Source organism: Homo sapiens, chromosome 1 (assembly GCF_000001405.40).
Source record: "Homo sapiens chromosome 1, GRCh38.p14 Primary Assembly".
NCBI lineage: Eukaryota > Metazoa > Chordata > Mammalia > Primates > Hominidae > Homo > Homo sapiens.
In genome coordinates, this window is record NC_000001.11 from 10,382,233 (window position 1) to 10,398,797 (window position 16,565).

Sequence of the window (16,565 nt, forward strand, 5' to 3'; positions counted from 1 at the left end):
TGCCTCAGCCTCCCAAGTAGCTGGGATTACAGGCATCCATCACGCCTGGCTGATTTTATTTTTAGTAGAGAGGGGTTTCACTGTGTTGGCCAGGCTGGTCTCAAGCTCCTGACCTTGTGATCCACCCGCCTCAGCCTCCCAAAGTGCTAGGATTACAGGCTTGAGCCACCGTGCCCAACCTATAATTATTTTTTTGAGATGGAGTTTGACTCTTGTCACCCATGCTGGTGTGCAATGGCACCATCTCAGCTCACTGCAACCTCTGCCTCCCCAGTTCAAACAATTCTCTTTCCTCAGCCTCCCAGGTAGTTGCAATTACAGGTGCCCGCCACCACACCTGGCTAATTTTTAAAAATATTTTTAGTAGAGACGGGGTTTCAGCACATTGGCCAGACTGGTCTCAAACTCCTGACCTCAGGTGATCCGCCCACCTCGGCCTCCCAAAGTGCTGGGATTACAGGCGTGAGCCACCGTGCCTGGCCATGTTGGGTTTTTTTGGGTGGGGAAGGGTAAATGGGGATTTGAAAAGTTGAACATGTCAATTTAATTTAACAAGCCCTCATCACGAGCAGAGCATGAGCAGGGGCCACTGTCCTGGGTGTTTGGGGAGAAACAGAAGAAGGGAGGGAGGAGCAGCCCTCAGGTTAAAAGCAATGATTTGTTCCAACCAATATTTGAGTACCCACCCTGTGCCTGGTGTGCTGCTGGGTGCAGTAATTCAGCAGCCAACAAAGCAAGCCCATGCACTTGTGCCCTCCCATTCCAGTGGGGAAGACAATGTTTAAACAAATTTACAACATCGGTCCTAAGTATTTTGGAGGAAAGCAGCTAAATAAAAGGATGAAAGAGGGATGGGAACGAGGGATGTTTAGATGGCATAGTCAGGGAAGGCCTCTCTTCGGAGATCACATTTGAGCAGACTCTAGAATGAAAGGATAGGGTAAGCCATGCAAACCCCTGGGCAAAGAGGTCTCCAAGTAGAGAAATGAAGCCCTTGAGGCAGCAGTGTCCTCAGTAGGTTCCAGAAATAGCAAGGTCGCTGGTACAGAGTCAGGGACTGGGAGCGCAATAGAAGACATCAGAAAGTAGCCAGGGACCAGGATATTTAGGGCTTAGGTGAGGACTTGGAATTTCATTAGAGTGAATGGGAAGCCATTGAAGGCTTTGGAGCAGAGGAGTCACAGGGGCTTATTTACATTTTTAAAAGACCATTCTGGAAAACAGTCTTTGTACTCAGGCAGGGACAAGTGGAAAAAAGGGGCAAAATAAGATTGTTACCCCAGTATTCCAGGGGAGGAGACGGTGGCTCAGACTAAGGTAGTAGAGTATAGGTGGGACGAAATGGGCAGATTCAAGGTACATTTTGAAGTTAGAACAGTTTTCTGAGAGACTTCATGCAGAGTTGTTGGAGAGAAAGGAGAAAAGTAACTAAAAGGGTAAGTGCCTGAGTAAAAGAACAGCATTGCAGTTTTCTAAGGTGAAGACAATTGGTAGAACAAAAGCTGAGAATGGTCATGCCTGTAATCCCAGCACTTTGGGAAGCCAAGGTGGGAGGATCACTGGAGCCCAAGACTTCGAGACCGACCAGCCTGGGCAATGTAGTGAGACCCCATCTCTACAAACAATTAAAAATTAGCTGGGCATGATGGTGCACGCCAGTAGTGCCAGATACCCAGGAGACTAAGGCAGAAGGATCGCTTGAGCCCAGGAGTTGGAAGCTGCAGTGAGCTGTGATCTTGCCACTGCACTCCAGCCTGGTCAACAGAGTTGAGACCCTGACTGTTAAGAAAATAGCACTTTGGGAGGCCGAGGCGGGCAGATCACCTGAGGTCAGGAGTTTGAGGCCAGCCTGGCCAACATGGTGAAACCCCGTCTCTACTAAAAATACAAAAATTAGCGGGGCGTGGTGGCAGGCGCCTGTAATCCCAGCTATTTGGGAGGCTGAGACAGGAGAACCGCTTGGACCCAGGAGGCAGAGGTTGCAGTGATCTGAGATCACGCCACTGCACTCCAGCCTGAGCAACAGAGAGCGAAACTGTCTCAAAATAATAATAATAATTTGATTTGAGTCATGTTCACTTTCAGATGCCAACACATGCACCTAAGTGTATAGTCAACAAAACAGTTGGCTGGACTAGCGGGATTCAAGGGGAGTGGTTGGAGCTGGAGACACACATTTGGGAGTTGGCGGCATGAAGATAGCAGATCGAGCCTCAGGCAGGGAAGGAGACCTGGAGCGTGTGTGTGGCTGACAGGAACCAAGGACTGATCTTGGAGCTTGGTGCGCTCCAACACATGGAGGTCAGGAAGAGAGAGGAGTCCAGCCAGGAGGACAAGCAGTGGCCGTGGAGGGAGAGTGTGGAAGACTGAGGAAGTGGTTGCTTTGTCCAGGGCAGCCAATAGGTTACAGGAAGGACTGAGCAGGGACCACAGGTTTTGTTAACTGAAAGGTGTAAGAAGTCCGAGGGAGCCAGGGGATACCCTAATTTTTCCCAATTTCAGAACCAATTAAGAAACAAAAAATAAGACGATGGGAGATGGGAGACCAAAATACCACCCTTATTACTGATAAAACTGCTGTTAGAAAATGTGGTTACATCTGGGAACACTGGATTTCTTTTCTTTTCTTTTTTTTTTGTGATGGCATCTCGCTCTGTCGCCCAGGCTGGAGTGCAGTGGTGTCATCTTGGCTCACTGCAAGCTCCGCCTCCCAGATTCACACCATTCTCCTGCCTCAGCCTCCCCAGTAGCTGGGACTACAGGCACCCGCCACCGCGCCCGGCTAATTTTTTTTTTTGTATTTTTAGTAGAGACGGGGCTTCACCATGTTAGCCAGGATGGTCTCGATCTCCTGACCTCATGGTCTGCCCGCCTCAGCCTCCCAAAGTGCTGGAATTACAGGCGTGAGCCACCGCGCCCGGCCTGGATTTATTTTGTAAGGCTGAACCTCAGAATGAGGCGGTTTAGAGCAGTGCTTCTTGAACTTTATTGTGCACCAGAATCCCCTGGGGATCGTACTAAAATGCAGGTTCTGATTGAGTAGGGCTTGGGTGGAGCCTGAGATTCTGCTTTTCTAATAAGCTTCCAAGTGATGTCAGTATTGCCATTGTGGGGATCACTCTTTGAGTAGCAGAAGTTAAGAGGAACGCAGCGCATATGTCCCCTGAAGGCAGCCGAGGTTCTGAGAGAGAGGGAGGAAGTGGCCAGGCAGTCTATGCCTAACCGCTCCTTCCAGACTCACAGGAACATTCTAGTAATGGGGCTCACTTCTCATGGAGGGAGGCATCAGGAGTGCTTCTACACTAGCAAGGTCATTGGTGAGGGGAGCATTTGTTTGAGTGGTGCCTAATTGGAGTAGGTTCTAGGGAAAGTGGGAGGAGAGGAGGGTGAAACAGTACAAACAATTCTTTCATAGATTTTTCTGTAAAAGGGAAAAGACAAATGGAGTAACTGGAAGGGGATATGGGGTAAAGGAGAGGCTTTTGTTTTAAAGAAGGGAAATAGCATAGCTTGTGCATGTACTAATTGGAAAAAATGAACTGGGAGGGAAAACCTGGCAGTGGGGAAGACAGTGAGGTGGAGAGAGTTGTGGAGTGGGCCTGAGGGACTGGGGGCCAGTGCACAGCAGAGAGGTAGGTCCTAGATCCAACTGAGCACCCTGGCTTATATCCACAGTGCTGCCGACAGCTCAGTGATAGGAACACTGCAAGTCTCTGGATTGCTAGGACTCTTCAGTCTTAAGTTAATGTCTGGCTGGGCGTGGTGGCTCATGCCTGTAATCCCAGCACTTTGGGAGGCTAAGGCGGGTGGATCACCTGAGCTCAGGAGTTCAAAACCAGCCTGGCCAACATGGTGAAACCCTGTCTCTACTAAAAATACAAAAATTAGCTGGGCATGGTGGTGGGTACCTGTAATCCCAGCTACTCGGGAGGCTGAGGCTGGAGAATCACTTGAACCCGGGAGGCAGAGGTTGCGGTGAGCCGGGATCACACCATTGCACTCCAGCCTGGGCTACAGAGCGAGATTTTTGTCTCAAAAAAAAAAAAAAAAAAAAAGTTAGTTAATGTCAGCTCTAGGGCTTATGTCAGGCCACGTCTTCCTGAAACTGGACTTGCAGTTTAAAATGGGAGATCATCCCCGAATCAGTGCATATTATGCTGGTTGTGCCCTCAACTAGACCTCACCCAGGAGCATGTAGGATTGAATCCTCACTAGGGTTGCACGCTTAGTAAATCCCCATGTCTCTTGCAAAGCTGATAGTTTGGGAAGTCAGGTGACCCATGGAAGCATGCATGAGTCTGGTGCGCTGCTTTTCTTTTGTTGTTGTTGTTTTGAGACGGAGTCTTGCTCCGTCGCCCAGGCTGGAGTGCAGTGGCACAATCTCGGCTCACTGCAAGCTCCGCCTCCTGGGTTCACGCCATTCTCCTGCCTCAGCTTCCTGAGTAGCTGGGACTACAGGCGCCCGCCACCACGCCTGGCTAATTTTTTGTATTTCTTAGTAGAGACAGGGTTTCACCGTGTTAGCCAGGATGGTCTTGATCTCCTGACCTTGTGATCTGCCCACCTCGGCCTCCCAAAGTGCTGGGATTACAGGTGTGGGCCACTGCGCCTGGCCCGGGCTCGTGCGCTGCTTTTCTATCTGGTTCTTCTTGTTATTCCACTTGCGGTTGGATGGGGAGATATTCCACTTTCCCTTAGGAACTCTTGTCCCTGCACAGACCATTTTAGCTATTCTGAGCACATCACAAGCATACTCCTCTGGGGTGAGAATATATAGCCTCTGGGCTTTTTCAGAATTGCTCCTTCTGCTACTCTGGAAGCTAACGTGGAATGATTGCTTGAGTCCAGCAGTTCAAGGCCAGCATGGGCAACAAAGCAAGAACCTGTTTCTTTAAAAAAAAAAAAAAAAAAAAAAAAAGGCGGGGGGAGCAGGCATGGTGGCTTACACCTGTAATCCCAGCACTTTGAGAGGCCGTGGCAGGAGGATCACTTGAAGCCAGAGCTCAAAACCAGCCTGGGCAACTTAGTGAGCCCCCATTTCTACAAAAAATAAAAACAATTAACTGGGCATGGTGGTACACACCTGTAGCCTCAGCTACTCAGGAAGCTGAGATGGGAGGATCCCTTGAGCCCAGGAGTTTGAGACTGCAGTGAGCTATGATGGTGCCACTGGCGCCTGGGTAACAAAGCAAGACCCTGTCTCAAAAAAAAAAAAAAAAAAAAAAAGGAGCTGGGCATAGTGGCATGTGCCTGTAAATGAAAGGCATCATTTCATGCAAGCTCCTCTGAGCCCAGGAGTTCCAGCCTAGCCCAGGCAACAGGGCAAGACCACGTCTCAAAAAAAAAAAAAGTACTCTTTCCACCTAAAATATATTCAGGTCATTTGAGTTCAGTTTGAGTTCAGCTACGAGAATTATTTAGTTGAGTGAGTGTCAGAGCTGGGATTTTCAAATCTGCCCTTACTGGTATGTTGCTTTACACACCCTCTTACGTAAATCAAACTAGGATTCCACCCTGGGAGGTTTGCATAGAGGGCTGTTCTTGTAGAACTTGTGCTCATGCTTTGATTTGGGATTTGGGGAGTTAGGGCAAGCCAGAAAGTTTTTCTGGTGGATAATAATGTGGGTTGACTTTCTTAAGCATTTTAAGCCAAGCACTTGAGTTTCTAACAACTAAAAAGCTAAGTCAGCCTGACACAGCTCTAGCGCGCCCTGGCTTGATTCTGTTCATCCCCAGGGGGAGACTTGCCTTTGTTCCAGTCCTGCTCTCCCAAGCCAGCTTACTGTAGTTTTCCAGCAATTCTGAGAAGCAGTATTTTTTACTGCTGATTAGAACCTTAACATGGAAATGGAAAGTTTGTGTAGCATGTAACATTATTAGAAGGGAAAACATGACTATATGATTAGATACATATTGATTTTATGCAATATGTTTGCATAAAATCTCTTCAGTAGTAACTTGGTTAAATTATTCACATTGACTCAGCATAATTTCTCCCTTGCTAAATCTCAGACTAAAGCAATCAATTTGTTCCTGCAAGAAAGTCTGATGGTAGGCTTTCCTTGTAACTGAGCCCCATAGAAAGAGGAAGCAGCTGCAACAAAGTTGAAAAGGATGCCTGTCACCAAGGTTCTTTTAAGGGAGCCATTGTGTGAAGTTCTACTTGTGAAATTTCTGCAAGTACTGTTTGTTCTCCAAAATCCAGCTTTCCGTTGAAAGTCAATGAAACATCTCTAAAATGCAGACATACCCAGGTTCATTGGGAACACAGTCACTGTGAGTATACATGATTATGTCCTGCTAACCCTATTGGGAAAGAATGCTGGGCTTGGCCCTAGTAAGTAGACTTGGGTTAAAGTTCACCTCCGCCACTAACTAGCTGGGAAGTTCAACTTCCCTGAGCTGAGTTTGTCACGTTAGAGAATATTAATAAATATGAAAATTGTGGAGCAGTCTTAAGTTTAAAAGGAACTTTCATGGACATTAGCTCATTTTGCTGTGCCCACCCTGGGAAGGAAGCAGGACAGGCAGGCAGTGGCATCCCTGTCGTCAAGCAGCCTGAGGACTGCTGTGAGCCTCTGGAGCAAGGCAGGAGTTTGAGGAGGCTCTCAGTCCTTTTGTCCTTTTTTTGAGACAGAGCATCATTCTGTTGCCCAGGCTGGAGTGCAATGGCATGATCTTGGCTCACTGCAACCTCTGTCCCCCACCCTTACCACTGGGTTCAAGCAATTCTTAGGCCTCAGCCTCCTAAGTAGCTGGGACTACAGGATGCACCACCACGCCCAGCTAATTTTGGGGGGGTTTTTTTTGAGACGAGTTTCACTCTTGTGGTCCAGGCTGGAGTGTAGTTGCGTGATCTCGGCTCACTGCAACCTCTGCCTCCTGGGTTCAAGTGATTCTCCTGCCTCAGCCTCCCGAGTAGCTGGGATTACAGGCGCCCACCAACACGCCTGGCTAATTTTTTGTATTTTTAGTAGAGACGGGGTTTTGCCATGTTGGTGGTCTCAAACTCTTGACCTCAGGTGATCCACCCGCCTCGGCCTCACAAAGTGCTGGAGTTACAGGTGTGAGCCTGTGTGTCCTTTCTATTGAGGCTTCTCTCCACATTTTCTGATCCTCAGTCTCCTTATTTCCTGTAAGGCTGAGGTCCCAAATCCAGCCTGTGAAAGAGAAATGCCAGCAGAGGCAGCACCCAGCACAGGATCTATTATTGCAGCATGCCCTGTGGTCAGGGCCTTCAGTAAAAGCCCACAGACCCTGACTACTTTCTGGCGGACTCTGGAGGAAGGCCTTAACCACAGACAAAAGGACAAGGACAGTGCTGTGGAGGGACTGCTGGCTGCTGCAGCGTGAAGAGAATAGGGAATGCACTCTACAAAAATAAAAAAGCATAAAATTGGAAAAAATATATACCAAAAACATTTCAAGGTTCTGGACATCAACCAAAGGCAGGCAAATTAAGAAGCATTTATTCTTGAGAAAAAACTGGCTGGGCACGGTAGCTTGCACCTGTAATCTCCCAACACTTTGGGAAGCAAAGGTGGGAAGTTGGCTGGAGGCCAGGAGTTCAAGGCCAGCCTATGCAACCAAGCAAGACCCTGTCTCTACAAAAAATAATAATGAATAATAAAAAGAAAAAGAGTGGCTCACGCCTGTAATCCCTGCACTTTGGGACGCCTAGGCAGGTGGATCACCTGAGGTCAGGAGTTCGAGACCAGCCTGACCAACCTGGTGAAACCCATGTCTCTACGAAAAATACAAAAAAATTAGCCAGGCATGGTGGCTCATGCCTGTAATCCCAGCAACTTGGGAGGCTGAGACAGGAGAATCGCTTGAACCTGGGAGGCGGAGGTTGCGGTGAGCCAAGATAGCACCACTGCCCTCCAGACTGGGCAACAAGAGCGAAACTTAGTATCAAAAGAAAAGAAAAAGATAAAGAAAAAAAAAGTGCTAGAACTTTTTTTTTTTTGAGACGGAGTTTTGCTCTTGTTGCCCAGGCTGGAGTGCAGTGGCACGATCTCGGCTCACTGCAACATCTGCCTCCCAGGTTCAAGCAATTCTTTTGCCTCAGCCTCCCCAGTAGCTGGGATTACAGGCATGCACCACTGCGGCTAATTTTTTATTTTTAGTAGAGATGGGGTTTCTCCTTGTTGGTCAGGCTGGTCTCAAACTCCCGACCTCAGGTGATCCTCCACCTCGGCCTCCTAAATCGGCCTCCCAAAGTGCTGGGTTTACAGGTGTGAGCCACTGACCCGGGCCGAGAAGTGTACCTTTTTTTTTTTTTTTTTTTTTTTAAATGGAGTCTCACTCTGTCGCCCAGGATGGAGTGCAGTGGCGCGATCTCAGCTCACTGCAAGCTCCGCTTCCCGGGTTCACGCCATTCTCCTGCCTCAGCCTCCCGAGTAGCTGGGACTACAGGCGCCTGCCACCATACCTGGCTAATTTTTCAATTTTTAGTAGAGACGGGGTTTCACCATTTTGGTCAGGCTGGTCTCAAACTCCTGACCTTGTGATCCGCCCTCCTCAGCCTCCCAAAGTGCTGGGATTACAGGCGTGAGCCACCGCACCCGGCCTCAAGAAGTGTACTTTTTTATCAGCTAAAAGTGGCAAAGTTCTTGAGAAATAAACGGCTTGAGAAAGCCGTTTCTTGAGAAAGAAACCCACAGCTTACTAGCCTGAGATCTCAAGTAGCAGACTAGCTAGAAATCTAGGAGACTCTGGAAATGAGAATGCCACAAAAGGATTAGACAGGACCTCAGCACATCACTCGCTGGCTGGAAAACCAGACACGTACACAGATGAGACTTCAGAAAGCCCATAGAAATTAAAAGCCAAGGGAGAGCTGGGCACCATGGCTCACACCTGTAATCCCAGCACTTTGGGAGGCCAAGGTAGGCAGATCACCTGAGGTCAGGAGTTCAAGACTAGCCTGGCTAACACAGCAAAACCCCGTCTCTACTGAAAATACAAAAATTAGCCAGGCGTGGTGGTGCATGCCTGTAATCCCAGCTACTTGGGAGGATGAGGCAGGAGAATCGCTTGAACCCAGGAGGCGGAGGTTGCAGTGAGCTGAGATTGCATCATTGCACTCCAGCCTGGGTGACAGAGTGAAACTCCATCTCAAAAAAAAAAAAAAGAAAAAGAAAAATGTTAAAAGTCAAGGGAGGCTGGTTGTGGTGGGCTCACGCTGTAATCCCAGCACTCTGGGAGGCAGAGGCGGGTGGATCACCTGAGGTCAGGAGTTCAAGACCAGCCTGGCCAACATGGTGAAACCCCGTCTCTACTAAAAATACAAAGAATTAGCCAGGCATGGTAGCAGGTGCCTGTAATCCCAGCTACTTGGGAGGCTGAGGTAGGAGAATCGCTTGAACCCAGGAGGCAGAGGTTGCAGTGAGCCAAGATCCCACCACTGCACTCCAGCCTGGGGAGCAAGAGCAAAATTCTGTCTCAAAAAAAAAAAAAAAAAAAAGCCAAGGGAGATTTAAGAAGTAGGTGATCCCTGAATGCACCGCCAACCCACCCAGATAGGCCTAAATATCTGAGCACAGCCAAGGTGTTTGAGCACAACCTCTTCCCAGATCTTTGGCCACTAAGTTATGGAGACACAAGGCAACCATCAGGAAGTCAAGCTAAAACCTAAAGAATAAAAAAAATCTGGGTGCAGTAGCTCAACCTGTAATCCTAGCACTTTGGGACGCCAAGGTGGGAGGATTATTTAAGTCCAGGAGTTTGAGACCAGCCTGGGCAACAGAGAGAGATCTCGTCTTGTCTCTTAAAAAAAAAAAAAAAAAAAAAAAAGGCCAGACACGGTGGTGTGCACCTGTAGTCCCAACAACTTGGGAGGCTGAGATGGGAGGATTGCTTGAGCCCAGGAGTTCAAGACTGCAGTGAGCCACTGCACTTCAGGCTGGACAACAGAGCGAGTCCCTGTGTCAAAAAAAAAAAGGAAAAAGAAAAGAAACAAAAATCTGGGCTGGGTGTGGTGGCTCACACCTGTAATCCTAGCACTTTGGGAGGCCAAGGTGGGCAGATCACTTGAGATCAGGAGTTTGAGACCAGCCATGGCCAACATGGTGAAACTCCATCTCTATTAAAAATACAAAAATTAGCCAGGCATGGTGGCGTGAACCTGTAGTCCCACTCATTTTGGGGGCTGAGGTGGGATTGCTTGAGCCCAGGAGGTCAAGGTTGCCGTGAACTGTGATTGTGCCACTGCACCCCAGCCTGGGCAACAGAGCAACACCCTGTCTCTGAAAAAAAAAAAAAAAAAAAAAAAATGCTTAACTGCTCATCAGAAACAGTAAAGGCTAAAGCCACTGCAATGGATATTCAAAGTGCTGAAAGGAAAAAACAATCACCCAATAATTTTATATACAGCAAAACTAGCCTTCAAAAGTGAAGGTGAGGCCGGGTGCGGTGGCTCACACCTGTACTCCCAGCACTGTGGGAGTCTGAAGCAGGATTGCTTGCGCCCAGGAGGACCAGACCAGCCTCTACAGAAAAATTTTAAAAATTAGCCAGACATGGTGGCACCCACCTGCGGTCCTAGCTACTTGGGAGGCTGAAGTGGGAGAACTGCTTGAGCCCAGGAGGTTGGGGGTACAGTAAGCTATGTTCAAACCACAGCACTCCAGACTGGGTGACAGACCAAGACCCTGTCCCAAGAAAAAGGTGAAATAAAGACATTCTGAGATTTTTAAAAAGGGAGAATAAGAGAATTATTGCTAGCAGACCTCTCCTAAAAGAGGTACTAAAGGGGCCGGGTGTGGTGGCTCACTCCTGTAATCTCAGCACTTTCTGAGGCCAAGGCAGGCAGATCACCTGAGGTCGGAAGTTCGAGACCAGCCTGACCAACATGGAGAAACCCCATCTCTACTAAAAATACAAAATTAGCCAGGCATGATGGCACATGCCTGTAATCCCAGCTACTTGGGAGGCTGTGGCAGAAGAATCGCTTGAACCTGGGAGGCAGAGGTTGTGGTGAGCCGAGATTGAGCCACTGCACTCCAGCATGGTTGACAAGAGCAAAATTCTGTCTCCAAAAAAAAAAAAAAAAGAAGTACTAAAGGAAGTCCTTCAGCCTAAAAGAAAAGGACACTAGAACAATATCTTGAATTCACCAGAAGGCATGGAGCACTAGAATGATGAAGGCAGCTAAATGTAAAACACTATATATTTCTCTTTTTTTTTTTTTTTTTTTGAGACAGTGTCTTGGTCTGTTGCTCAGACTGGAGTGCAGTGGCACAATCCCGGCTCACTGAAGCCTCCGCCTCCCGGGTTCAAGCAATTCTCCTTCCTCAGCCTCCTGAGTAGCTGGGACTACAGGTGCACGCCACCACACCCAGCTAATTTTTTGTATTTTTAGTAGAGTCGGGGTTTCACCAAGTTAGCCGGGATGGTCTCGATCTCCTGACCTCGTGATCTGCCCACCTCGGCCTCCCTATATTTCTCTTTTATACTTTATATTTTTCTCTCTTTTTTAATTTTTTAAAAAACAAGGTTGTTTAAACCAGTTATAACACATTGCTGGGTTTATAACATATAAAGATATATATATAACACAAAGGAAGAGCAAGGGAAGGGTAGTAAAGTTACTGTATTTTACCAGAATTTTCAGTATTGAGCTGAAATATACTGTAATAAGTTAAAGCTACATACTGCAATCCCTAGACAACCACACAGAAAGTAACTCAAACATATAACTAAAAGGAAAAAACCCTTCAACTTTGGGATCAGGATAATACATACATACACATACACAAATGTAACACAGAAAAAGGAGTTAAAGAAGCCAGGCGTGGTGGCTCACGCCAGTAATTCCAGCACTTGGGGAGGCCGAGGCAGGCAGATCACCTGAGGTCAGGAGCTCAAGACCAGCCTGGCCAACATGGTGAAACCCTGTCTCTACTAAAAATGCAAAAATTAGCCAGTCATGGTGGCATGCCTGTAATCCCAGCTACTTGGCAGGCTTAAAACAGGAGAATTGCTTTAACCCGTGAGGTGGAGGTTGCAGTGAACTGAGATGGTGCCACTGCACTCCAGCCTGGGCGACAGAGTGAGACTCCATCTCAAAAAAGAATTAAAGAGAAACAAAGGGACAACAAAGATGAGAAATATAGAAAACAAGTATTAAAATGTCATCCATATATTCAACCATATCAACAATTACATTAAACATGAATGGACTAAATATTCCAAAGGGCACAGACTGTAAAACTGTATAAAAAAGCAAGATTCAACTATATGCTATCTACAAGAGATCCTTTAGATTCAAAGACACAAATAATAGAGTGAAAGTGAAAAGATATACCATGCAATCAAGAATCACAAGAGAGCAGGAATAGCTATATGAACAACAGTCAACATGGCCTTTTTCCCCAAGTTCTTCCTGCATACATTTAACTCAGCATAGACTTTAATAGTAGTATTAATATTAGAAACATAAAGGAACATTTTATGATGATAATGGCTATATCAATACATTATGAAGATTTAGCCATTATAAATATATACACTGCTAACATTAGTCTCAAAAACAGAATTGAAAGGAAAAATATACAATTGAAAATCCATGATAGGCCCAGTACAGTGGCTCAACGCCTGTAATCCCCGCACTTTGGGAGGCCGAGGCAGGCAGATCACTTGAGGTGAGGAGTTCGAGACCAGCCTAGCCAACATAATGAAATGCTGTCTCTACTAAAAAAAAAAAAAAAAAAAAAAAAATTAGCTGGATGTGGTGGCACTTGCCTGTAATCCCAGCTACTCAGGAGCCTTAGGCAGGAGAATCGCTTAAACCTGGGAGGTGGAGCCTGTAGTGAGCCGAGATCATGCCAGTGTGATATTGAGTCTTGCAAATCCGTTAACATGTTACAATGTCTTATTTAGATCTGTAATTTGCTTCAGCAATGTTTTGTGGTTTTGAGTGTATAGGCTTTGGACTTATTTTATTAAATTCAATATCTTATTCCAAATATTTTATTCTTTTGATGTTATTGTAAATGACACTTTTTTTTTTTTGAGACTGAGTCTCACCCTATTGCCCAGGCTGGAGTGCAGTGGCACCTCCCAGGTTCAAGCAATTCTCCTGCCTCAGCCTCCTGAGTAGCTGGGATTTTTAGTAGAGATGGGGTTTTGCCAGTTTGGCCAGACTGGTCTTGAACTCCTAGGCTCAAGTGATCTGCCTGCCTTGGCCTCCTAAAATGCTGGGATTACAGCCATGGGCCACTGTGCCCGGCCATAATTTTTGAATTTTTTTTTTTTGGTAGAGATGGGTTTCCGCCATGTTGCCCAGGCTGTTCTCCAACCCTGGGCTCAAGTGATACTCCTGCCTCGGCCTTCCAAAGTGCTGGGACTATAAGTGCAGGTGTGGACCACCGTGCTTGGCCTTTTTTTTTTTTCTTTTTTTTTTTTGAGACAGGGTTTTGGCTCTGTCACTCAGGCTGGAGTGCAGTGGTACCATCATGACTCATTGCAGCCTCAATGTCCCAGCCTCAAGCAGTCTTTCCACCTAACCCTCTCGAGTAGCTGGGACTACAGGCATGCACCACCACACCTGGCTAGTCTTATTTTTAATTTTTGTTTTTTTAAGTAGAGATGGGGGTCTCACTATGTTGCTCAGGCTGGTCTCCAACTCCTGGGCTCAAGTGATTCTCCCACCTCAGCCTCCCAAAATGCTGGGATTACAGGCGTGAACCGCCATGCCCAGCAGAAAAATTGTCATTGGAATAAAGTCTGGGGTTTTGTTAAAAGTTTTATATCGGCCGGGTGTGGTGGCCCATGCCTGTAATCCTAGCACTTTGAGAAGCTGAGGGGGGAGATTCCCTGAGCTCAGGGATTCAAGACCAGCCTGGACAATGCAGTGAAACCCTGTCTCTACTAAAATACAAAAAATTAGCTGGGCGTGGTGGCGTGCACCTGTAGTCCTGGCTACTTGGGAGGCTGAGGCAGGACAATTTCTTGAACCCAGGAGGCAGAGGTTGCAGTGAGCCGAGATCACGCCACTGCACTCCAGCCTGGGCGACAGGGCGAGACCTGGAGTGCAGGCACAATTATGGCTCCCTGCAGCCTTGACCTCCCCAGGTTCAGGTGATCCTCCCACCTCAGTTTTTCTATTTTTAGTAGAGCCCTCCACCTCCCGGGTTCAAGCAATTCTCCTGCCTCAGCCTCCTGAGTAGCTGGGATTACAGGCATGTGCCACCACGACGGGTTAATTTTTGTATTTTTAGTAGACACAGGGTTATACCATGTTGCCCAGGCTGGACTTCAACTCCTGGGCTCAAGTGATCCACCTGTCTTGGCCCCACAAAGTGCTAGGATTACAGGTGTGAGCCACCACACCTGGCCAGCAGTTTCTTAAAAAGTTACACTTACCTTAAAACCCAGCAATCCACTCCTAAGTATATGTCTAAAAGAAATGAAAACAACAGGCTGGGTGTGGTGGCTCACACCTGTAATGCCAGCACTTTGGGAGGCTAAGGTGGTAGCTCTCCAGACCACCCAGGGCAACATGGTAAAACCCCGTCTCCACTAAAAATACAAAAAAATTAACCGGGTGTGGTGGGGCACACCTCTAGTCCCAGCTACTTGGGAGGCTGAGGCAGGAGAATCACTTGAGCCCCAGAGGCAAAGGTTTCAGTAAGCCGAGATCGTGCCACTGCACTCTAGCTTGGGCTACAGAGTGAGACTCCATCTCACACACACACACACAAAAGAAATGAAAACAACAATTTGTACATGAGTTCAAAACAGAATTATTTATTTCCCAAACTAGAAACAATCCAAATGTCTATCAACAGATAAATGGATAAGCAAATGATGACACAATTGCATTAATGGAATACCACTCAGCAATGAAAAGGAACAAACCACTCATACCTACAACACAGATGAGCCTCAGAAACGTGATGCTAAGTGAAAGAAGCCAGACCAAAAAAATTATATGCTATTATTCCATTTCTATGAAATTTCTGGAAAAGGCAAAAACCATGCAAAGTAGATCAGAGGTTGGCTGGGGGTGAGAGCAGAGACTGACTACAAATAGGCCCAAGGGAACGTTTTGGGGTGATGGAAGTTTTCTATAAGTGGATTATGGTGATGGCTACACAACAGTATAAATTAAAGGTCATCCAAATGTGTACTTACAATGTTTGAATTGTATGACATGTAAATTATCTCATTAAATCTGTATTTTAAAAAAAGAACTGTGCTGTGAAGTTTGACATATTTTAAAGTAGGATGTCTTAGCCGGGCATGGTGTTGCATGCCTGTAGTCCTAGCTACTCAGGAAGTTGAGGCTAGAAGATTGCTCGACCTCAGGAGTTCAAGGCTGCAGTAAGCTATGGTCATGCCACTGCACTCCAGCCTGGGCAACAGAGCAAAGACCTGGTCTTTATAAAAATTAAAAACCGGCCGGGCACAGTGGCTCACACCTCTAATCCCAGAACTTTGGGAGGCTGAGGTGGGTGGATCACTTGAGGTTAGGAGTTCGAGACCAGCCTGGCCAACATGGTGAAACCCTGTCTCTACTAAAAATAAAAACATTAGCTGGGCATGGTGGCACACACCTGTAGTCCCAGCTACTTGGGAGGCTGAGGCAGGAGAATCGCTTGAACCTGGGAGGTGGAGGTTGCAGTGAGCCCAGATCGCGCCACTGCCCTCCAGCCTGGAGACACAGCCAGACTCCATCTCAACAATGACATCAAAAAAAGGCCGGGCACGGTGGCTCACGCCGGTAATCTCAGCACTTTGGGAGGCCAAGGCGGGCGGATCACGAGGTCAGGAGTTTGAGACCAGCCTGGCCAAGATGGTGAAACCCCATCTCTACTAAAAATACAAAAATTAGCTGGGCGTGGTGGCGGGCGCCTGTAATCCCAGCTACTTGGGAGGCTGAGGCAGGAAAATTGCTTGAACCCGGGAGGCGGAAGGTGCAGTGAGCTGAGATCACACCACTGCATTCCAGCCCGGGCGACAGTGCGAGACTCCGTCTCAAAAAAAACAAAAAAAATCTAAAACTCAAACTTCTGAATAACAATTTCCTCCTAGCAAGAAGGGACTCAGTAAGATAAGAAGCGCTGCTTGGCTACTTTGCAAATGTCTGGCTTAAGATGGCTGGTTTTTTGTATCTGCCTCTGCATTTAACCTGGTCCATCTCGCGGGTCACATAGCCTCTACAAAATGAGAAGGGGTTCAATACCGTTAACTCCGGGCCTGGGTAAAAGACTCAAGTCCTGACCCCATCATACTCCAACCAATACATACCCCGCCTGCGCTGTCTGCGCCTGGGTCTCTTCAACCGCAGTGAGCGGTCGCACGGCTCCACATCAGGGTCGCCCTGAGGCTCAGCCTTCCCCGGCCCCATTCCGAGTGCGCACAGGACTGAACGAGCACGCCCGGTCCCTGCTCCGGAGCGGAGGACACGACGCGGACCCGCACGGTGCACCGCAGTGACCTGAGGAAGGAGCGACGGGCGCTCGCGCCAAAGGCGTCCGAGTGCCTGGTAAACTGTAAAGCGCGGTCCTGCGTGAGTTGCTATGGCTACAGCTGCGCCAGGCGGACGGCCTGCAGGA

The 16,565-nt window shown here is 47.6% G+C and overlaps 2 annotated features.

The window, feature by feature from the left end:
- Window positions 6,025-6,204: an enhancer, noted in NCBI's record as "active region_146". NCBI's record gives its function as "activates an Ori minimal core promoter by ATAC-STARR-seq in GM12878 lymphoblastoid cells {active_cell/tissue: GM12878}" and the evidence as "EXISTENCE:reporter gene assay evidence [ECO:0000049][PMID:35858748]".
- Window positions 16,220-16,529: an enhancer, noted in NCBI's record as "active region_147". NCBI's record gives its function as "activates an Ori minimal core promoter by ATAC-STARR-seq in GM12878 lymphoblastoid cells {active_cell/tissue: GM12878}" and the evidence as "EXISTENCE:reporter gene assay evidence [ECO:0000049][PMID:35858748]".